At 38.1% G+C, this 23,665-nt stretch overlaps 2 long non-coding RNA genes across 7 annotated transcripts in view, besides 2 other annotated features; one reads left to right on the forward strand and one right to left on the reverse strand.

Moving 5' to 3' along the window:
* SLC38A4-AS1 (SLC38A4 antisense RNA 1) overlaps nucleotides 1-23,665 on the forward strand; it is a 268,904-nt gene that overhangs the window by 40,968 nt on the left and 204,271 nt on the right. The window lies entirely within an intron of this gene.
* LOC124902923 (uncharacterized) overlaps nucleotides 5,589-23,665 on the reverse strand; it is a 64,239-nt gene continuing 46,162 nt past the window's right edge. The window contains exon 2 of one of the 2 annotated variants that reach the window (XR_007063284.1): nucleotides 5,589-5,793. This is a non-coding gene — a long non-coding RNA (uncharacterized LOC124902923). Of the gene's footprint in view, nucleotides 5,794-13,372; nucleotides 15,494-23,665 lie in introns of those variants that run through there. The other variant, XR_007063283.1, reaches the window with a different exon arrangement.
* Nucleotides 5,703-6,204: an enhancer, noted in NCBI's record as "NANOG hESC enhancer chr12:46824129-46824630 (GRCh37/hg19 assembly coordinates)". NCBI's record gives its function as "activates a minimal SCP1, AML or CMV promoter by ChIP-STARR-seq in primed H9 embryonic stem cells {active_cell/tissue: H9 hESC(primed)}" and the evidence as "EXISTENCE:reporter gene assay evidence [ECO:0000049][PMID:30033119]".
* Nucleotides 5,743-6,037: an enhancer, noted in NCBI's record as "tiled region #10514; HepG2 Activating DNase matched - State 5:Enh, and K562 Activating DNase unmatched - State 5:Enh". NCBI's record gives its function as "activates a minimal TATA promoter and a strong SV40 promoter by Sharpr-MPRA in HepG2 and K562 cells {active_cell/tissue: HepG2 | K562}" and the evidence as "EXISTENCE:reporter gene assay evidence [ECO:0000049][PMID:27701403]".

The raw sequence follows: 23,665 nt of genomic DNA on the forward strand, positions 1-23,665 counted from the left end.
TTAGCTTTTCTTGTTGAATTGATCCCTTTACCATTATGTAATGGCCTTCTTTGTTTCTTTTGATGTTTGTTGGTTTAAAGTCTGTTTTATCAGAGGCTAATATTGCAACCCCTGCCTTTTTTTGTTTTCCATTTGCTTGGTAGATCTTCCTCCATCCTTTTATTTTGAGCCTATGTGTGTCTCTGCACGTGAGATGGGTTTCCTGAATACAGCACACTGATGGGTCTTGACTCTATCCAATTTGCCAGTCTGTGTCTTTCAATTGGGGCATTTAGCCCATTTACATTTAAAGCTAATATTGTTATGTGTGAATTTGATCCTGTCATTATGATGTTAGCTGCTTATTTTGCTCGTTAGTTGATGCAGTTTCTTCCTAGCCTCGATGGTCTTTACAATTTGGCATGATTTTGCAGTGGCTGGTACCGGTTGTTCCTTTCCATGTTTAGTGCTTCCTTCAGGAGCTCTTTTAGGGCAGGCCTGGTTGACAAAATCTCTCAGCATTTGCTTGTCTGTAAAGTATTTTATTTCTCCTTCACTTATGAAGCTTAGTTTGGTTGGATATGAAATTCTGGGTTGAAAATTCTTTTCTTTAAGAATGTTGAATATTGGCCCCCACTCTCTTCTGGCTTGTAGAGTTTCTGCCGAGAGATCCGCTGTTAGTCTGATGGGCTTCCCTTTGTGGGTAACCCGAGCTTTCTCTCTGGCTGCCCTTAACATTTTTTCCTTCATTTCAACTTTGGTGAATCTGACAATTATGTGTCTTGGAGTTGCTCTTCTCGAGGAGTATCTTTGTGGCGTTCTCTGTATTTCCTGAATCTGAATGTTGGCCTGCCTTGCTAGATTGGGGAAGTTCTCATGGATATTATCCTGCAGAGTGTTTTCCAACTTGGTTCCATTCTCCCCATCACTTTCAGGTACACCAATCAGACGTAGATTTGGTCTTTTCACATAGTCCCATATTTCTTGGAGGCTTTGTTCATTTCTTTTTATTCTTTTTTCTCTAAACTTCTCTTCTCACTTCATTTCATTCATTTCATCTTCCATCACTGATACCCTTTCTTCCAGTTGATCGCATCGGCTCCTGAGGCCTCTGCATTCTTCCCGTTGTTCTTGAGCCTTGGCTTTCAGCTCCATTAGCTCCTTTAAGCACTTCTCTGTATTGGATATTCTAGTTATACATTCATCTAAATTTTTTTCAAAGTTTTCAACTGCTTTGCCTTTGGTTTGAATTTCCTCCTGAAGCTCTGAGTAGTTTGATCGTCTGAAGCCTTCTTCTCTCAACTCGTCAAAGTCATTCTCCGTCCAGCTTTGTTCCATTGCTGGTGAGGAGCTGGGTTCCTTTGGAGGAGGAGTGGCACTCTGCTTTTTAGAGTTTCCAGTTTTTCTGCTCTGCTTTTTCCCCATCTTTGTGGTTTGATCTACTTCTGGTTTTTGATGATGGTGACTTACAGATGGGTTTTTGGTGTGGATGTCCTTTCTGTTTGTTAGTTTTCCTTCTAACAGACAGGACCCTCAGCTGCAGGTCTATTGGAGTTTGCTAGAAGTCCACTCCAGACCCTGTTTGCCTGGGTACCAGCAGCGGTGGATGCAGAACAGTGGATTTTCATGAACCGCGAATGCTGCTGTCTGATCGTTCCTCTGGAAGTTTTGTCTCAGAGGAGTACCTGGCTGTGTGAGGTGTCAGTCTGCCCCTACTGGGGGGTGCCTCTCAGTTAGGGTGCTCGGGGGTCAGGGGTCAGGGACCCACTTGAGGAGGCAGTCTGCCCGTTCTCAGATCTCCAGCTGCGTGCTGGGAGAACCACTGCTCTCTTCAAAGCTGTCAGGCAGGGACGTTTAAGTCTTCAGAGGTTACTGCTGTCTTTTTGTCTGTCTGTGCTCTGCCCCCAGAGGTGGAGCCTACAGAGGCAGGCAGGCCTCCTTGAGCTGTGGTGGGCTCTACCCAGTTCACGCTTCCTGGCTGCTTTGTTTACCTAAGTGAGCCTGGGCAATGGCAGGTGCCCCTCCCTGAGCCTCGCTGCCACCTTGCAGTTTGATCTCAGACTGCTGTGCTAGCAATCAGCGAGACTCCGTGGGTGTAGGACCCTCCGAGCCATGTGCGGGATATAATCTCCTGGTGTGCCATTTTTTAAGCCGGTCAGAAAAGCGCAGTTATTAGGGTGGGAGTGACCCGATTTTCCAGGTGCCATCTGTCACCCCTTTCTTTGACTAGGAAAGGGAACTCCCTGACCCCTTGTGCTTCCTGAGTGAGGCAATGCCTCGCCCTGCTTTGGCTCGCACATGATGCGCTGCACCCACTGTCCTGTGCCCACTGTCTGGCACTCCCTAGTGAGATAAACCTGGTACCTCAGGTGGAAATGCAGAAATCACCTGTCTTTTGTGTGGCTCACGCTAGGAGCCATAGACCGGAGCTGTTCCTATTTGGCCATCTTGGCTCCCGGGCACATCTCTTTATGATAAAAGCCCTCAACAATCTAGGCATTGAAGGAACATACCTCAAAATAATGAGCCATCTATGACAGACTCACAGCCAACATCTTACTCAATGGGAAGATGGAAGCATTGCCCCTTAAGAACTGGAATAAAACAAGGATGTACACTCTAACTACTCCTATTCAACATAGTACTGGAAGCCCTAGCCAGAGTAATCAGACAAGACAAAGAAATAAAAGGTACCCAAATAGGAAAAAATAAGTCAAATTATCTTTCTTTGCTGACAATAAGATTCTATACCTAGAAAATCCTAAAGATTCTCCCCAAAGACTCCTAGATCTGATAAACAACCTCAGCAGTCTCAGGATACAAAATCAATGTACACATATCAGTAGCATTTCCATACCCAATGACATTCAGCTCAGAAGCAAATTAAAAATGCAATATCATTTATGGTAGCCACACACACAAAAAATAAAATATCCGGCAATATATCTAACCAAGGAGGTTAAAGATCTGTACAAGGAGAACTGCAAAACACTACTGAAAGAAATCGCAGATGACACAAACAAACGGAAAAACATTCTATGCTTATGGATTGGAGGAATCAGTATCGTTGGAATGTTTATACTGCCCAAACACATCTACAAATTCGATGCTATTCCTATCAAATTGTGAGTCACTGTTCACAGAATTAGAAATAACTGTTCCAAAATTCATATGGAACCAAAAAAGAGCCCAAATAATCAAGACAATTCTAAGCAAAAAGAATAAAGCTGGAGGAATCACATTACTTGACTTCAAGCTATACTACAAGGATGCAGTAACCTAAACAGCATGGTACTGGTACAAAAATGGACACATAGACCAATGAATAGAATAGAGAACCCAGAAATAAAGCTGCACACCTACAACTAACTAATATTTGACAAAGTCAACAATAACAATGTGGAAAGGACACTCTATTCAATAAATGGCTAGCTATACACGGAAGAATGAAACTGGACCCGTACCTCTCACCATATACAAAAATTAACCAAGATGAATTGAAGTCTTAAATGTAAGACCTCAAATTATAAAAATCCTAGAAGAAAAACTAGAAAATACTTTTCTAGACATTGATTAAGGCAAAGAATTTATGACTAAGTCCTTGAAAGCTAACATGACAAAAACAAAAATGGACAATTAGGTCCTGATTAAACTAAAGAGCTTTTGCACAGCAAAAGAAACTATCAACAGAATAAACAGACAACACACAGAATGGGAGTAAATGTTTGCAAACTATGTGTCTGACAAAGGACTAATATCCACAATCTATAAGTAATTTAAACAAATCAACAAGAAAAAACAAATAGCCCCATTAAAAAGTAGGCAGAGGACTTGAACTGACACTCCTCAAAAGACATACAAGTGGCCAACAAATAAAAAAATGTTCAGCACCACTAATCATAAGAGAGACACAGGCCAGGTGCAGTGGCCCACGCCTGTAATCCCAGCACTTTGGGAGGCCGAGGCAGATCACCTGAGGTCAGGAGTTTGAGACCAGCCTGGCCAACATGGCAAAACCCCATCTCTACTAAAAGTACAAAAATTAACCGAGTGTGGTGTGGTGGTGCATGCCTGTAGTCCAAGCTCCTCGGGAGGCTAAAGCAGGAGAATTGCTTGAACCTGGGAGTTGGAGATTGCAGTGAGCTGAGATCGTGCCATTGCACTCCAGCCTGGGTTACAGATGGAGCGAGACTCTGTCTCAAAAAAAAAAAAGAGACACACACACAAATGTAAACCATAATGAGATACTATCTCACACCAATCAGAGTGGCTATTATCAGAATTTCAGAAAACAACAGATACTGGCAAGAATGAAGATAAAAGAGAATGCTTATACACTGCTGGTGGGAATGCAAATGAATTCACCGCCTGTGGAAAGCAGTTCGAAGATTTCTCAAAGAACTAATAATAGAACTACCATTCAACCCAGCAATCCCATTACTGGGTATATACCCAAAGGAAAATAAATCGTTCCACCAAAAAGACACCTGCACTGCTATGCTTACCATGGCACTATTCACAATAGCAAAGACATGGAATCAACCTAGGTGCCCACCAGCGGTAGACTGGACTAAAAAAATGTGGTGAATATCCACCAGGTTCACAATGCAGCCACAGAGAAGAATGTATTCATGCCCTTTGCAGTAACGTAGATGCATCTGGAGGCCATTATCCTAAGTAAATTAATGCAGAAACAAAACCAAATACCACATGTTCTTACTTTTAAGTGGGAGCTAAACATTGGGTACACTTGGACACAAAGATGGGAAAAATAGACACTGGGGATTCCAAAAGGAGGGAGAGACAGAGGGAGCAAGGGTACTATGTTCACTACTTGGTTTATGGGATCATTAGAAGCTCAAACTTTAGCATCAGGTATTATACCCATGTAATAAACCTGCACATATACCTCTTGAATTTAAAATTAAAAGCAAATAAATAAATGAAAGAATTGGGCATAACCCTCAAAAAAATTCCAGAATGTGGGGCACTACTCTGGTCTCTTCAGGTCAGTGGGATGGGAAAAAGAGCAGGTGATGGGGCACAGGGGGAGCTATATTAAGATAAACTAAACTTGAGAGATGTAAACATGAAAACAATGTGTAATTCCGTATTGGATCCTGTTGGGAGAACAAGTTTGAGGGACAATTGGGATTCTGAATAAGGACTAGATATTAGAATTATTATTATAGGAATCCCTAAATTTTTAGGAGTGATAATGGTATTGTGGCTATGTTAAGAAAACTCCCTAATTTTTAAAAGATGCATGCCAAGAGGTTTACGAGGGAGGCATGCTATTATCTATAATTTACTTTGAAATGGTTCAGTAAACAAATGAAAAATAGAAGGATGAATGGATGGTTTGATGAATAAATGGAATAAATGTGGCAAAATATTAAAAAACTGTTCTCATATGCAATTGCTTATGAATCAGACTTAGTTTAGTAAAAACCAAACAGCAAGATAAAATAAATTGGATACTGAGGTTATTTTTAGATTTGTTATTACTGTCATGAATAATCTTCAATTTCAAATTTATGTTCCTTAAAACTTATTGTTACCATTGATTAATCTTATAATATATGTTACAAAGTTGAACTGATAAAATATTCTAATAAAATATTTATTTTGCTGTCTTTTATGTTGTAGATCCACATAAGGTATTCTTTGAAAACCCAGTTTAGTTCACAAGAAAAATGGAAAACAGATTTAGTCTTCTTGCCTTTTACGTTGCAGACATAGAACTTGTCATTGTAAATGCAGTGTCAGTAGGTCAATGACCCAAAAGTCCCCGTTCTTTGTGCTGAAAAATATCTGCAGAGAGGGAATGTTAGATTTCTGTAAGTGAAATTCTGAACAATACTAATTGTTTGCTTACCTGCAATGTATGGGTTGTTAAGATAAAACAGGGTGGGAACCTGATCTACCCAGGCATATCTTTCATGTGAATGTGAAGGAAATGATTCATTGACAACCCCAAAGACCTTGCTGGGAAAACACAGCTCAGTATTGCATCATCAAGCATTTGAAAACAAAGTGTCAGGAAACAGTTTAGAAATCAGTCTCTATCACTTTCTCTTATTAACTAGTTGTTTGTATTAATAAGAGTAACCACCACTTGTGTTTTGTTTTGTAGTTTATTAAGTGTATTTGTGATAACTTTTGGAAGTAGTAAGGTAGGTCTCATTACTCATTTTTCAGGTGAGGAAAATGAGGCTCCCAGATTTTCAGTGACTTGTTCAGGATTACACAGGCTGAAAGTGGAAGATCCATGTATTACTACATCTGGGTCTACCTAGGAAATGGGAGGGCATCAATTGTGTAATATAATCTCATAGAAACTCGGTTTTCTGAGCTCTAAGGAGGGCATAATGCTTATTTTACAGTATTGTTATAAAAATAACATGAAATTATATAAAGAAGACATCTAGGTCAGTATTTTCATATACATGGAGTTCGGTACATATTTAGTCCTTTTTTTTTTTTTTTTTTTTAGATGGGGCCTTGCTCTGTTGCCCAGGCTGGAGGGCAATGGCACAATCTCAGCTCACTGCAACCTCCACGTCCCAGGTTCAAGTGATTTTCCTGCCTCAGTCTCCTGAGTAGCTGGGATTACAGGCGCCCACCACCACGCCCAGCTAATTTTTGTATTTTTGGTAGAGATGGGGTTTTCCATGTTGGCCAGGCTGGTCTTGAACTCCTGACCTCAGGTAATCCGCCTGCCTTGGCCTCCCAAAGTGCTGGGATTACAGGCGTGAGCCACTGCGCCCGGCCCTTTTTTTTTTTTTTTTTTTTTTTTGAGACAGGGTCTTACTCTGTTGCTGAGGCTGGAGTGCAGTGGTGTGATCTCGGCTCACAACAGCCTTGACCTCCTGAGCGTAAGTGATGCTCCCACTTCAGCCTCCCAAGCAGCTGGCACTACAGGCACATGCCACCACACCCAGCTAAATGAGGCACCTGGCCTCATTTACTTTTTAGTGCCATGTTTATAGTCCTGTAGCTGTAATCTTAATCTGTACCTTAAATTTTCCACTGTCTAATTCCTTATATACCATCTTAGTAAGTTACAGTATTGCTATATTGAATCTTCAGTATAGTACTTTTCCAGGAGACTAACTGACAGCAAGCTTCTCTTGCTATTTTAGTTACTAATTCCTTCCCCCACTTTTGGGCAAAAGGCCAAGAGTATTTTGAGGAGATTAAGATGAACCTACAATTTATTGAATCATACCATTAAATAGAGTCAGAGTGAAGTTATAATACATTTGCAAAGTGACATATCTAAAGGGGCAGTAAGCAGCAGACGTAAGCAAAGTCATAGAAATCCATTTATCTGCCAACACATTTATGTAAGAAATTACACTACTGGTCAGGAATTTCCTGCTGTATGTCATTTTTTTTTTTTCTTATGGAACTTTTCAATAGCTTGTAATGGGCTGTTGTGCCTCCTCTTCAGGCTTGGCTGTTATCAGTGCCACTCAGATATCCCTTCCTATTCAGTGTGGAGTGCTTTGTGACACTTATGAATGGGTGCACCTATTTTTTAACTATTAGAATGTTGATTTATATCACAGAAGACTCATCATTTCTGCTTCCCTACACATAGGCCTGTTGTAAGAATTTACTGGTTTCAAACATGTATTAATTATATGAACTTGCAGGAAAAGAATGCCATAAAATTGAAAGCTACATGTGAGTTTTATAAGAGATAATTTTCTACCAAAATAATATGCAAAGGTAATAATTGGGGAAAATTTCTAGGCAGATGGGGAAAGAAATTCAAGTGTTTCTAATTATGTAGATAATGCTGAGTGAAAGGAAGAGCACTGTAGAAGGAATACTTGATGTGTAGCAGAAAACCAGAGTTTGAGTCTAGGCTCTGCCGTCTGCTAGATGAGCGTGGGCAAGACACCTAGGGCTGCAGTCTCATATACTTCAGCTGTAGAAATGGCCACTGAATCATATTTCTTAACCTCTGTTTTATTTTATTAGGAAAAATGTAACACCCCAGGAAATTTTAGTTTGCAGACGTGGTGTAAAACTTTACTTATGCAGCCTTATTTCAGTACGCTTGCGTATACAATCGAAGTATTTAGCACTTCAATGTTTGCAGAGATAATTGGCAAATAGAAAGTAATATAAAATAAATAAGTAGATTTAATGTTTTCTAATTTTCAATGGAGAAATATGGTTATATATATTTTTAAATTAGATTCAGCAGTAGGAGATTCAATGAATTACTTAGCCTCCTAAACATAAATCAGCTTCATCCTTCTCCTTTTTTTTTTTCAATTTTATATCAACAAACTGCCAGGAATGAGAGAAAAATTAATATTTCCTGAGAATGACTTTTGCATCAGTTGCATGCAACTGTTGTAAATTGTATCCTATCAGATATTTTGATTCACCTGAATTAAAACTTCTGATATATTATACCGGCCTAAAGATTAAAAAAAATTTTCTGACTTTCTTTCAGACCTTAAAAATGGATTTAATTTCCAGAAATGCAAGTGTGGGTAAATACAGAGATTATAATGAAATGCTTCATTGTGCTAATGGATAAAAGGGGAAAATCAACTAGAAGTATGTGCTTTTGGGAAGGAAAGGACAAAATTATTACTCTCAGTAGGTGATACAATTGTCTATTTAGTAAAACTACAAAATCAATTGTAATACTTTTTGAAACAATAAAAAATTTAGTAAAAAGACAAGTTAAAAGTTAAAATATATGAAACTCAATAGCTTTCTTATATACCAAACATTACCAATAATAAAATATAAAGGAAAAAGAAATTTATTCTCACTAGAACATACACTGCATGAGGACAGAAACCATTTTTTTTTCACAGCTGCATCCCCAGCTCCTATAACAGGGTCTGACACATAGTAGACACCATAAACATTTGTTGTGTAAATGAATTCGTGGTAACAAAATATCACAAAATTATTAAGAATATTCTTAATATGAAATTCATAGGATCTTTAATCCTATATTTCATGGAAAACTGGTATGTGAATTGAGTTGGTGAATTCTCAGAAAGAAGGATAGTGGTTATATGTAGAATGTTTTTCTCCACCAGACATGGATTCATTCAATAAATATGTTTGGGGATCTACTCTGTGCTTGGCGGTGTTCTAGCCACTGTTCTAGGCACCAATAGACAAAAATAGACAAAAATCTCTGTTGTCATGGAACTTATCATCTCATTTGGAGATATAAACAATATGCAAATGAATAAGTAAAATAGATAGGATGTCAGATGGTGCAAAATGTTAAGGAGAAGAATAAAGCAAAGAAGGGGCTGTAGAGTTCCAGGGTTTGGACAGGGGATGGAAGTAGACGGAAGTGGCAGCTGTGAATAGGGTGCTCAGGCAAGATCTCACAGACAAGGTGGTATTTGAGTAAAGACCTGGAGAAGGTGAGTCATGTGGCTATCGATATTAAAAGCTACAGTAATTAAAACAGTGTGGTCGTAACTTCAAAGAGACACAGAAAAATAGAACAAAATATTGAGTTCAGAAATTGGCTCAAATATATGTGAAGATTTAGCATGTGATAAAGTGGCCAAGAAAATGGACTGTTTTTAAAGAGTGCTGGAACAACTTGCTAGCCATTTTGGGGGAAAAAGGTAAGTTGGGATCTCACCTTATCCAGACAAAAATTACAAATGGATAAAAAGTTTTCATGTTAAACCACACACATTAAACAGCTGAAGAATGTTTAAGTATATATTTTTATACAGCCTTTGACTAGAGAAGGCCTCTTAAAGCATAATAAAGCCAGAAAATGAACAGAATGGTCCACAGATTAGACCATATAAAAGTTTGAGGTGGCAAAAATAAAACAAAATAAATAAAAAATTAAAATCACCACCAATAAAAGTTAAAAAAATACATATTACAGAAATACTATATTTCCTTATTCTAGTCCCCACTCTCTTTCAAAAAATGAACAGAATGGTCCACAGATTTGACAATATAAAAGTTTGAGGTGGCAAAAATAAAACAAAATAAAAAATTAAAATCACCACCCATAAAAGTTAAATTAAAAAAATACATATCACAGAAATACTGTATTTCCTTATTCTAGTCCCTGCCCTCCTTCTGAAGTTAGTGTATACATTTAATGTGGTGATGTCTCTTTCTCCTTGCTCTTAGGAACTATTAAATTGATAGTATATATTCTAATAAACTGCCTGTTAGAGAGCAGACTAAGGTATATAGAAAGCTTTAAAAAGCAACATATTTTTGCATACTCAATAGCAAAAGTAAAAAGCCTATGAACACAGTTCACAAGGAAAGAAATGCAAATAACTAAAAAAAGGGAAGAGATGTTAAACCTTTTGGGTAAAAAGGAAAGGTCAGCTGAAATTGCATTGATATGCAATGTTTTACCCATTGGATTGGTAAGCCCTAAGAGGATTGTTATGGGAGGCAATGGGAATATACAACATTCTCATTTACTGCTAATGGGAGTGTGAATTTGTACAGCCTTTCATTAAAACTGAATATGTTTATGCCTTTTAAATTTCCTTGGATTTTTTTCCCTAAAAGGATATAATTGCACAAGTGTTCAAAGATAAGAATGTATGTACAAAAATGTTTATCTCAGCATTGTTTGCAATAGTAAATAACTGGAAATGATCTTGATGTCCATTAATAGAGAAATGGTTAAATAAGCTACAGTAGAATGCTATGCAATGTGGAATGCTATGGAATGCTATGCAGTTATTATTTATTTATATGGGAAGATGCCCACAATAAATTGTTTATCAAAAGGCAGATTACTACAGCCATTTTGGAAGACAGTTTGACACTTTCTTACAAAACTAAGCATCCTCTTATCATATGATCCAGCAATTGTACTCCTAGGTATTTACTCAAACTTAACTTCACACAAAAACCTGTACATAAATGTTTGCAGTAGCTTTATTCATAGTTGTCAAAAATTGGAAGCAACCAAGATGTCCTCAAGTAAATGAGGATAAAACAAACTGAAGTATATCCAGATAATGGAACATTATTCAGTTATAAAAATAAATGAGCTATTAAGCCATGAAAAAACACTGAAGAATCCTACATGCATATTGCTAGGTGAAAAAATAGCATTTGGCATTCTAAAAGGCTACATACTCTATAACTACAAGTATATGACATTCTGGGAGGGGCAAAACCATGGAGACAGTAAAAAGATCTGTGATTGGCAGGGATTGGAGGGAAGTCAGGGAGGGATAGATAAGTGGAGTGCAGAGAATTTTTAGGGCAATGAAACTATTCTGCATGTTGCTGTAATGGTGGATACCTGACATCATACATTTGGCAAAACCCATAGAGGAATGAATCTTAATATACATTTTAGGTAGTAATGTATCAATATTAGTTTATCAATTGTAGTAAATGTACCACACCAAAGCAAGTTGTTAATAATAGGGGAAATTGGTGGTGAACAGAATGGGAATATATAGGAACTCTCTACACCTTCTGGTTAATGTTTCTGTAGTCCTAAAACTGATCTAAGAAATAAAGTCTGTTAGTTAAAAAAAATGCATGTATGATCCTCTTTTTATAGTTTGTGTGTGTGTGTGTGTGTGTGTGTGTGTGTAGGGGGATGTGTAGAAATAAGTTTGGAAGGATAGCATCAAAATGTTAAGAGTGGTATCTTCCAGTGGTGAGACTGTGAGAGATTTTCACTTTTTAATTTATGTCTTTTTATACTGTCTACAATGTTTTATATTCTTATGATCAGAAATAATACAATTTCATTTCAAAAGCAAAAACATAAGACAACAGCACCAACTAAAAAAGAGAAAACTAACAAGAATAAAGTAAAATGAAAAAATAACCCGTAATTCTACCATCTAAAGATAACTACTATTAACATTTTGGTATATATTTCAGGTTATTTACAATAAATTATGTAATATGTGAAATATATAGATAGATAGATACACACATTAAATACAATTTTACAACACAATCATAGTTTATATATGTTCCACAGTGAGCACATCTATAGGGACCTATCCCAAAGGCTTAAAAGTTATCCAACTGAAAGTTGACTTATACATTTTTCATTTACAAAATACAAGGCTCCTAAGTTGTCTAACTTATCCTGTGATGACTAGTGGCTGCCAGGATTATGCAAATATTTTCAGAAAAACAAATATGCTTAATACGTCTCTTCAAGGTAAAAATGACATTTTAATAGTGAATGAGAAAGCAACTGCTTTTCTAACTTAATTTGCTGTTTTGAAAATGGATGTGGTAGCAGCCTCTGAGGTTGCTGCCACTGATCCCCTCTTCCTGGCATCCATGTCCTTGTCTAATCCCCTCCCCTTGAATATGGGCTGGACCTGTGACTCTAACAAACGTTTGAATGTGACACAGGACTTCAGTTCGTTTCAGCATTTCAAACAAAACAACTTCATATTCACATAATATTTCATAAAATTCTTTCCTATGCATAGTTCCATTCAAGCATCCCAACCTCTTGAAATAAAGAAGAGATATAATATTTGTTTCTGTTTTAAGTGAGAAAATTAAGGGCTCAGAGAGATATTAAATGATTTGTTCAAGGCCTGTCTGACCAGACGGCTTGTACCACAATTCAAATCCTGCTCTGCTGACTTTAATTCTCAGTCTCCTTCATTCTAAAGGACGATTCTACTCTTCAGTCTTTAGACTTTCCAGAGTGGAGTAAAAAAGTGGCTGGCTAGGCTTTTGTGGTCTCAGATTCTGGTACCTGTGTCACTATAGCACAATATTCTAGTCTATATAGAGTGATTCCTCAATTGATGTTTGTTGATAATATGGAAATTTCATTCATAGCAAATTGTGGTGGTGTTAAATACTGTCATTACTTTACTTATCCACGTAACTCTATGTGAGATTAAGATTTTGGTAACTATCTGGCTATTTTGATCAAGGCAGATACCTGGTAATTGATATGTTAAGGCATTTTTCTCCCTGAGTTATTGGATGATGAAATCATAGAAAATTAAACCTAGTAGCAAACATTAGATGTGCATATTTGAAGACAGATTTTTTTTATAGCTGTACTATGAGTTATTTTTTTTCTGTCAAATATTATTTATGAGGAATGTTGAGGTAACTAGAGAGGAAAAATGTCATAGAAAACAGTTCCCTTCAGATGATCTAAGAGGTTCATGTTGTATACAATGCACCTCTTATCAGAAAGTTATTGGTGATACCATTTCTTTTCCGGTAAAGCAAAGCAAGTCTTCATTTTTACATATTTGACATCTCTGAGTTACTTACTGATGTCAGAGAGGGCATCCTTGATGTATGTTTATTCATATATTTTCAAAAAACAGTACAGAAAATTTTCCATTACTGAAGAAATAAATCCACAAAAACCAAAGGCTTGAGAATATTCCTTTAAAAAGATAATTTATTGACTTTTGTGCATTGGGGATTAACCAAATCTGTAACTAGAGATTAATCTGGAGAAGGGGGAGAGAGGAATAGAATGTGAATGGGACAGAGGCAGAGGAGGGAATGTGAGGGAATTAGGGCATTAGTGCTGCTGGAAGGGTGTGAATATGACTTGTTGAGGCTTTCTGAGTTTCAGGCTCTGTGCTACGTGCTCTGCATATATATCTTCTTCTTAATCTCTGTAACAGACCTATGAGGTGACAGACATTATTATCCACAGTTTTCAAATGAGGAAACTGGCTCAGAGAGGTTTCAATAAATGACCCAAGATCACACAGCCAGTAAATAGCAGTCAGGATTTGAACTCACAGATGTTTGTACTTCAAGTCTGTGTGCTTTACCGTACTGCATACGTCTGTCTACAGAGTGCTGATTTTACAGATATTTTCCCCAACTTGGCTATTGGTTAACTGTCCAGATTTGTTTTTACATGAGTAACGCATGCTCCAGTTTATTTTTATTCAAAGATAAGTATATATAAAGAGATGTAGATCCTTTTATGGTTTGCTGAAATTTATTTTGAACTTAGTTCTCGTGCATCAGAAATACCTTATTAATTGAAAATAGACCCATTAATTACTGTGTGGGATGTGAAAAAATGCATTCTTTGTAAATTTCTAGTTTTTCCTTTGGACTATGGTAATTTGCATTTGTCCTATGCTTTTGGCAGTAGCCACAGATTTCAAGTATTAAACATAAGTGAAATACTGTATGTGATTTTCTATATTGTATGGGAGGAAAAAAGTCAATCTGGGGGACAGATCCAAGTGATGTGAGACTCCAGCTGAAGGCTCAGGTCCCTCTAGGGAAAGTCACAGCAGCCTGACGGTGTAGGAAAATGGCACTCTGCTGCTGTCAGTTTACTTGGCAGTGCCTGGCAAAGAGCACAGGAAAAACACCAGAGCAGCAATGAGCAGTTTTTCAGCTGCCAGAGAAAAAGTTTCACAAACTGGGAATTTTACAAAGGTACACTAATGTCTGATACTAATTTATTCATCAAATATTTGTTGCATAGTATATGCTGAAAATACAATGCTGAATTAGTCATTGTTCCTGCTTTCAAGGAACACACGGGCCAGACGGGAAGACAGTCTATAAATTTCAGTAAAGGGCGTCAAGGGCCATAGTCACAGGGCCTTATGTGAGCACCTAGGAGAGGTACCTGGTTTCGCCGGAAGTATTGGGAAATGTTCCAGAAGAGGGAATATCTATTCTAAGCCAGACTGTCTATATAATTTGCGGAGTCCAGTGCGAAATGAAAATGTGGATCATTTGTTCAAAAACTATGAAGAATTTCAAGATGGTGACAGCTGAGCATTAGATAAAGCACAGACACTTCTAATTGAATTTCCTTCTACTTAGACTGTAATACCCACAATGGGAAAATTCGAAACCATTGTTTAACAAAATGAACCCACTCTGGGCATTTATGCTGTTTGTTTCCTTTGAAGTATTACTACATAGCAAAAATCTAAGGGTCTACAATAATGTATTTAAATCAGCCTGGTGTGGCCATGATAATTTTGGAAGAACAATATTAGAATGGGTCATGAATGTTTAGTATTTGTTGCATTTCCCCCAGAAAAGGAAAGTTTCTGGGAACTTCAGGGAATATTTAAATACTTTCTCCAGCAGCCTGTTGCCTCTGAAACAAATAATTTATGGAAATGATAAAAAGCAAGTGTTAGTATGTTTGTTGGAAACGAAAACAGAAACCCTACCTGTTGATTACAAAAGCAGAGAACATGGTATCCATGGAATATTGTATTACAGTATTTTTCACAACTACTCACTGTACCCTTTAAAGGTTGTATAATGCCTGCTGGTAGCAAGGTAGCCATACGATTTATAGTAATTCCCTGAGGAAGGACTCTATCTATCCTTCTCACTTGGCCATGTGACTTGCTTTGGCCAATGGAGTGAAAGGACGTGATGTAAGCCATGTCTGAGTAGAAGTTCCAGGCAAATGCTTTAAGGGCCATGGCAGTTGGCACTCTGCTTTCCCCCTGCCACAAGTTCAGCATGTTCCCCGGAGGAGTTCTTTCTTCAAGCCTGGATCCTGAAAGAAAAAGCCATGTGGAGCACAGTCATGGCCAACACATGAAATGTGAATGCGAAGTAAACCTTGGTTGTTAAAAAGCCAGTGAGATTTTTTGGGGTTATTAATGACCATAACTGGGTGAAAATTGGCTAACACAGTGTTTTTATTTATAATAGGGCAATGAGTCACAAATACATCATTTGTCTAAAGGACATTCAGCGATCTCACTCCTCTGGGGAATGACACTGCTCTAATAATGATGATCATATAGGTTTTTCCAGAGGCAGATACACTGGGAATTCTGCTAATGGTAATCTGATCTGCTGGGAAATCAAGCTGAGTCCTCCAGGCATGAGTTGGGTCTAAATGGCTAAACCCCTGTCCTCACTTCCCCACCTGGTCCAGCTGCTTGCTGCCTACTTGATCTTAGACAAGTTGCTAAGCCTCAATTCCCCAATTTGTAAACTTGGAATAGGACTATTTACTTCATAAATTTGTTAGGACAGGGTCAGCTTCTATTTCTTCTGTATCAATGCCATTTTCCCACACAGTTTCTACCCCTCTGATTAAATTAGCTCTTGTTTGACTTTGTCTATCATTTTTAATGTAAAAGAAGTAAGACATTTGTAGATTAATATTGAGCTTCTCTTTGTTTCTCCCCAAGTATCTATTCTTTCTTCAGTGACAACAACTACCTCATAAAGGGTATATACTTTATTTTGATATTGGATATATATGCATATACATACATAAGTTAAAATATGCATAAAACCATGTTCTGTACACAGGAAAAATTTAGGATAAAAGAATTAGTGAAATCTTCTTTTCTTAAAAGGATTATGGTGGGGGAAGTGGGTTCACTTCTCCCTATGAAGCTGTTAATTCTTTTATGTTACTTGGCAAAGCTTGCTTGCTTTCTCTTCCTTTTTTCTCTCTCTTTCTTTCTTTTTCCTCTTTCCTTTCTTTCTTTCTTTCTTTCTTTCTTTCTTTCTTTCTTTCTTTCTTTCCTTTTCTCTTTCTTTCTTTCCCCTCCCTTCCTTCCCTCCCTCCCTCCTTCCCTCCCTCCCTCCCTCCCTGCCTCCTTCCTTCCTTCCTTCCTTCCCTCCCTCCCTCCCTTCCCCCCCCTCCCTCCCTCCCTCCCTCTCTCTCTTTATTTTTTTATTTTCTTTCTCCTCTCTTTCTTTCTTTTTTTTCTTTTTGAAGCAGGGTCTGGCTCTGTCATCCAGGCTGGAGTACAGTGGTGTGATCTTGGCTCACTGCAACTTCCACCTCCCAGACTCAGATGATCCTCCTGCCTCAACCTCCCAAGTAGCTGAGACTAACAGGCATGTGCCACCAAGCCCAGCTAATTTTTGTATTTTTTGTAGAGACAGGGTTTCGCCATGTTGCCCAGGCTGGTCTTGAACTCCTGAACTTAAGCAATCCGCCTGCTTCATCCTTCCAAAGTGCTGAGATTGCAGGCATGAGCCATCGTGCCTGGCCTGGCAAATTTTTCTAATTGTCACTATCGGTCAAGTCCTGTCCTACGAACTGAGAATAAAGAGTGGAACTGGATAGAAAAAGGCCTGCTATCTTTTAGCTTACCTTCTAGTAGGAGGAAGCAGACAATAAACAATTAAGCCAATAAGTAGACCCAATAAAAGGCCAAAAAACATGAAGTAAGAGTCCTTGGGAGAGCTCTCTACTGAATGGATAAGAATAATGTGTTAATTTATAGCTGTTTCAAGGAAGAGTAGCAACATTTATTGAGCACCTGCTAAGTTTCAGCTAGTTTATCTGTACTCTTTCATTTAATAATTGTAATAACCCTGTGAGTAGGTCCATTTTATAGGTCAAAAACTGGACATTCACAACTAGAAAGTCAACTAACTTCCCCTCAATTACCCAGCTGATAAATTCAAGAGTGGACCTCTAATTCTTACCTCCTACTTCTTCCTCAAGCCCAGTAATCTCTTTTAAGTAGGAAAAACATATCTCTTTCTGCTTACCCTCACCTATATCCTCAGTTAGGCTTTTTTAGATTATAAGTGATATTTTTCTTAGAATAAAGTTAAATTTCAGCTTTCCCTGCATTTACAGGAAATATTCTTTAAAAACAGAGCACTGGACTTAAATTCTGGAGAACTACCTTCAAACTACTGTCCTGCTACTCAATACCCATGTGGTTTCCGGCAAGTCACTCAACTTCTATGAGCCTGTTTACTCATCTGTAACAGGAGATAGTGCCAGGTATAAGGTTTTATGATCCCTAGTTTTGAACTAGTGGGGTCTGGCTTCACAGATTTTACTATACTTTGCACACTAATATTGCACACTGACATAGAGTCTCTCTCTGGTGATGTGCACAAGGATTTATATAACTCAGATCACTTCCACAGCACAGTGACTCAGAGCCCCTGGAGTATGAAAGACTGAATCCCTAAGTCTGGCTCACGAGCAGTAAGATCTCCTTTTCCTCTGCATTTTACCTAAGTGTTTTTTTTTTTTTTCCAGGCTGGGAGAGTTTGCCTCTGGCGTGCCTCTGCTCTTGAGGGTGAAATGGGCTCAGAGTGACTTTAAAGGCTGCTCAACAAAGGCAGGAACACCAGAGAATTATCATTTTCTTTTTCTTCAGCTGACTGGATAAGTGTAGCTGTAATAGAGTATGGTTCAGGAGGGCAAAACCACTTTGGAAGAAACCTTGAAAGTGATTCAATTTCAAGTCACAAGATCAATTATGTGAGGTTCTAGAACTACTGATACTGAGTTTTACAGCAGATTCATGGCACAGGTTCAGAAGGTGATTCAGGATGTCTCTTTCCTTGGACATTAAAGCTCATTACCTGAAAATTACTCAGCCTTGGCCCTTAGGGAAATTTTAAGTGCCCAGCCCAAACGGCATAATCCTATTTAAAATACCAAGATTGCATGATAATGAACAACATCGAAAGAAAACACTTGTCTGGGTCAGATCTCATCAATTAGACAATTTCCAACAGAGAACACATCTCTAGATAACTACATGTCTGTCATATAAGGGATATGTGGACTTCCGGCTATGTGCTTACAGTAAATTATCTCAAGAAAACTAGGCAGCAGGTAGAAAAAGAGCAATGCAATCCCACTTTTTTAATGCTCTTGCCTATAGTCTTTGATGGACTGAACTTCATTTGATGACCATTTCTATTCTTGCCTGCAATTTGGGAATGTTAAATCCTATCTCATAGGAGTGTGTATGGGTAGCATGAACTAAGGTAGATAAAGGCTTCACGTGGTGTTTGGCATGGCGTAGGTGTAGATTGGACCTCAGTTTTCTGCCCATGTTTGCTCTTCACGTACCTGTCTGGTATCTGTATGTGCTAAGCTCTGAGCCTTACAAACCATAGGGAGAGATATGCAAACTTGCCCTCAATGAGCATGTTGTCTAGCGAGGAAGATGAAATGCATAGACAGACAACTAGAGGTGGGGTTTGAGGGAGCCCAAGAAATAAGCACGCTTTTCCTGGCCCAGTTGCTGACAAGGAGATTGAGAGAGGGTCCCAGAGGTCAGTGGATTCTGGAGAATGTGGCATGGATGTGTTAGCTCAGGGGACTTGCCAGTCCTTCAGTCAGGCAGTAAGAGGACATCCCCAGTTGCCAGTCATTGGAAACCTAAAGAACTACAGGCTTCCTGGGGTAGGGGGACAGAATGGGTGCTGCAGGCTGGTCTGCAGAGGGCAGGCAGAGGTGCTGAGCAATCGCACTGGTTGAGAGAGGGGAGTATTGCTATTGTGGAACCTTCTCCACATGGACACATGAAACAGCAGAAAGGGAGAAGGAAAAAACCCTAATAAATTTAGCTTGCAATTTAAATTGAAGGGCTAAGAATAACTGACATTAATACTCATGCCTCATTACTGGTTGATTTATTTGGTTCTCAAACCATGGCTGTGTGTCAGAATCACTCGTGGAGATTTAAAAAATTACAAATACCTGGCTCCACCTGTTGGAGATTCTAAACCAGAGGATTTGGGAAGAGGTTTAGATATCTACATTTTAAAATCCCACTACAGGTCATTCTGATGGGCATCCAGGGTTTTGACCCACAACATTAATTAAGCAACGGTAGGCTTGGTTAATCTTTAAAAATACAACAGTCTTTAAAAAGGACCAGTGCTAATTGCATTATGCTTCTGTGTAAAAAAAATACAAAACCCTCAGATTTATTTGTCCTTTCTGCCAAAACAGAGATAAGAGAAGATCAAGGGAGTAGACAGATAAAAAGGTAAGTCCTGTGTCTTCTGTCTTAGGTTTTCATAGAAGTAACCAGAAGATATATATTTTTTTGCTTATCTTTTTTCTATAGTTAGTATGATCAAAGCTAACATTTCAAAAGCTGATCTTCCCTGGAAACATGAATAGGAACATAATACATTCAGTTGAAATTTTATCTAACTTTTAGTGAGTGCCTACTGTGTGCTAGAACTATGCTTGGCAGTTTCCTGTGTCTTCCCAGGTGAGGAGGTCAGGCCATAAGTGTAGTAGGATTAATGACGGCATTCTGAGCTAGTGAGAATGTTTAGGAACCATGACTTAAACGTTTATCTGCATATGATTCTCACTGCTGATGAAGATATGGTGATGCTGCAGCACGTATGTATTGTGGAGACACTGAAATTTAATACAACTTTTTGAACAAAAATTTGATAATGTATCCTAAGAACCAGATCTATATAAATGTTCTTAACATTGCACCCATTATTTCAATTTCTGAGAATTATCTTAAGGAGATACTTTTTTAAAGTAACATGTTTCAGGTAAGAGGAGAATAATTATAATGTATTTTAAATGTAGCTATATCTGGAAATTACATAAATTTTAATCATTAAGGAAATGATAGGTGAATTATTGCATAATGACTTTTAGACACTTAAATCTGGTCATTATAAAGCCTCTGGAGGAACAGGTAAAATGCTTAAGACAAAAAGCCAAAAGAAAAAATATGTACCAGGATAGTAATTAAAAGTTATTCATTAATGTTGGAAGGAAGTGTGAAGATGAGATGTAGTTTGTGTGTGGTAGTAGAATTCTGAGCATGTTTTCCTTTTTGGATGTGGTGGATGCACATTGTCCGGTCTTCCCAGCATCCCTTCCCACCCTATATGCAGCTAAGAGGAAAGGAAACCTTTCACCTCTGGCCAGTGAGCTGGGATGCAGTTTGCTTGCAGTCATTTGCAGCCTTTCTCCCCCTTTTTTTTTCCACTGCCAAATCAAGGAAACTTGCCCGTAGTAAGAGATAAAAAACTAAAAATCTAGAGAGAGGCTGGAGTCAGAGGGATGAACAGATGTGTGGAGAAAGGGGTAGAGAGATGGACGGGCCCACCTGAAGAGACCTTTAAGTTGGCGAGACAGTCTTCTAAATTTGGCACCTATGTGACACCGTACAATTTCTTTCTTATACTAGTTAATCTTGTTCTAGTCTGCTGACAATCAAAAGAATTCTGACAATAGAATTGGTTTAATTTTTAAAAGTTTTTAATTCTATGTTAGAGTCTGCCAAGGTTGTTGTTTGTTTTTAAATGAACCTTCTTTACTTTCTGAAGTACTAGAACATTTTGTACTTGTGTGTAAATACTGCGTTTATGAATCATTTCCCATTATTTTACTGATAGAATGTTGGTCTTTATTGAACTGTCATTTCCTTTCAGGTCTTCTTCTCAGCTTTTCCTGCAACATAACCACATTAACTGTTTTTCCACATCCTGATTCTGACAATAGCCATCCTGAGAATGCTTTTGGAAAGGGTAGTCTGAAACTACAATGTGGATTCAAATCTGTATAAGGCAGAAATGTATGGGGAATTCTGAAATCAATCAACAAACAGTAATTGAGCACCTATTATGTGCCAGGTTCTAGGGCTACAATGAAAATAAAAGTAGACAGAGCTCCTGTCCTTAACATGCTTATCTCTGTGTGTGCTGTGTGCATTCACTGGAGGTCCAGGGAGGCTTAGTCTGGGAGTATATTTAGCACTTAATATTTATTTAATACATCTGCAAAACGTCAACAGGATAACAAGCAACATTTATGGACCTTTAATAAGATAAGGTCTGTGCCATATCTTATTTTCCCCATTTTACCAGATGAGGAAATGGAGGTGCAATGAGGATATTTAATATATCCAATATTACAGAGTTAATAGGTGCCAAAGGTGGATTTAACCTGACACAGTCTGGCTCCTTACCATAGGATATTGCTGCTTACACGGTTGTAAGAAATCTGCTCAGAAATGCTGAATCTGTTACTTAAATTAATTTTTAATTTTTTTTGGAAAAATAATTATTAAGTTAAATGTTGGTGGTGAGATATACAGATATCTGACTGGAATAAGACAGGAGATTCCCTTTTCAACTTGCTATAGTTTGAGCCACAGGAAAAAAGTTCTGAAAAAATTAGTTCATCCATTAATTCATGTATTCAACAGCATTTTCAGCATACTACCTGCTACTAAGCAAATTTTGTAGAAAGCCCTTGGTTTGTTAAGGGTAAATGGAACAGAAACAAATCCTTAAAATATAACATAGGATGGTAAGTTCTGTAATAAAAGGGTTAAAAAGGAACTTTGAGAGCATTAAGAGGTGAAAGGAGGGGAAGGAGGGAGGAAATGTTATGAATTGTTTGACAAGTAAGCTAGGCGTTGAAATATGAGGAGGAATTCTTCCATGGACTTGGGAGTGGGTATAGGAGTAGTGGTGTAGAAAGGGACTTCTGCAACAGGATCTGCTTCTAAGCTCAGTCAATCGTGTCCTGAGAATTGCAAGTGGCTCTAAGACCAGGACTAAAAAGATAGGTTGTGCCAACTGAGGGAAAGCATTTGGAATTGTCTTTGAGGTCAGGGCTATATAAACTCTTTTAATTGCATACACCTACCAGTAAAAATAACTTGAGCATATACTCTTCAAATATGTGTTTATTTGCATATATTTATTTTTATATATACACTATCAGATTAGTTTCTTATATCCCTTCGGAAATACACACAGATGTAATTAAATAGGAAATATTTAAAGATAATGTTAGTTTTTGCTCCTATAAAATTTTCTTAAACATTAGAATGAATAATGTGTTTGAAAATGCAGATATGTTTTTGAAAAATTTGATTTAACACTTTATGATGGGGTAATTTAAAGGACTGGTTCTAAGTTCAGTTTATTTTGATTTCTAGTTTTAATTAAATCAAGACACTTCACAAATAGTGAAGTGCAGTTCCGATTGAAGGAGTGTTTGTTGGCATTATAACTAAGTCATAATGCAGTTTTTGCAGTTTTTTTTTTCAGTCTTAAACACTGTACTTAGGTTTTTCTTGAAATGTAATTAATAACTTTCTGTTTTTCCTGATATCATTTAGTCATTCTTGTAAACTCTTTGGAAGATGTTGCATTTTAATATTTTTAGTAGTTGGTTCAAATTCATAATCTGAATTATTTAGACACAGGCTAGAAAATTCTGTTTCTCATCTTTTTTTTAATGTGCAGATAGGAAAGGTTTTTTTGTTTGTTTTGTTTTTTTTTTTTTTTTTTAATGAGACACAGTCACATTACTTTTAGCCATTAAATCAATGATGAGGAAACATTTCCCCAATTGTATGAGTTATCTCTTGCTGCATAACAAATCATCCCCACAATTAGTATGGTAAAACAACAGACATTTCTTTTCTTTTCTTTTTTTTTCTTGAGACGGAGTCTCGCTCTGTCGCCCAGGCTGGAGTGCAGTGGTGCGATCTCGGCTCACTGCAAGCTCCGCCTCCCGGGTTCACGCCATTCTCTTGCCTCAGCCTCCCGAGTAGCTGGCACTACAGGCACCCACCACCATGCCTGGCTAATTTTTTGTATTTTTAGTAGAGACGGGGTTTCACTGTGTTAGCCAGGAAGATCTCCTGACCTCGTGATCTGCCCGCCTCGGCTGGGTTTACAGGCATGAGCCACCGTGCCCAGCCGACATTTCTTATCTCATAGTTTCTGTGGGTCACAGATCCCAGGAGTGGCTTAGCTGCATTATTTTGGGTCAGAGTCTCCCACAAAACTGTGACTGAGGGGTTGGCCGGCCTTCCAGTCAGCTCAAGGCCAAATTGACTGAGGCTCTGCTTCCAAGTTCCCCCACGTGCCTGTTGGCATGCCTCAGGTCCTGGTCAGCTGTTGGCTAGAGGTGGTAGTTCCTTGCCATGGGCTTCTC

This window comes from Homo sapiens, chromosome 12, assembly GCF_000001405.40.
Source record: "Homo sapiens chromosome 12, GRCh38.p14 Primary Assembly".
Classification (NCBI taxonomy): domain Eukaryota; kingdom Metazoa; phylum Chordata; class Mammalia; order Primates; family Hominidae; genus Homo; species Homo sapiens.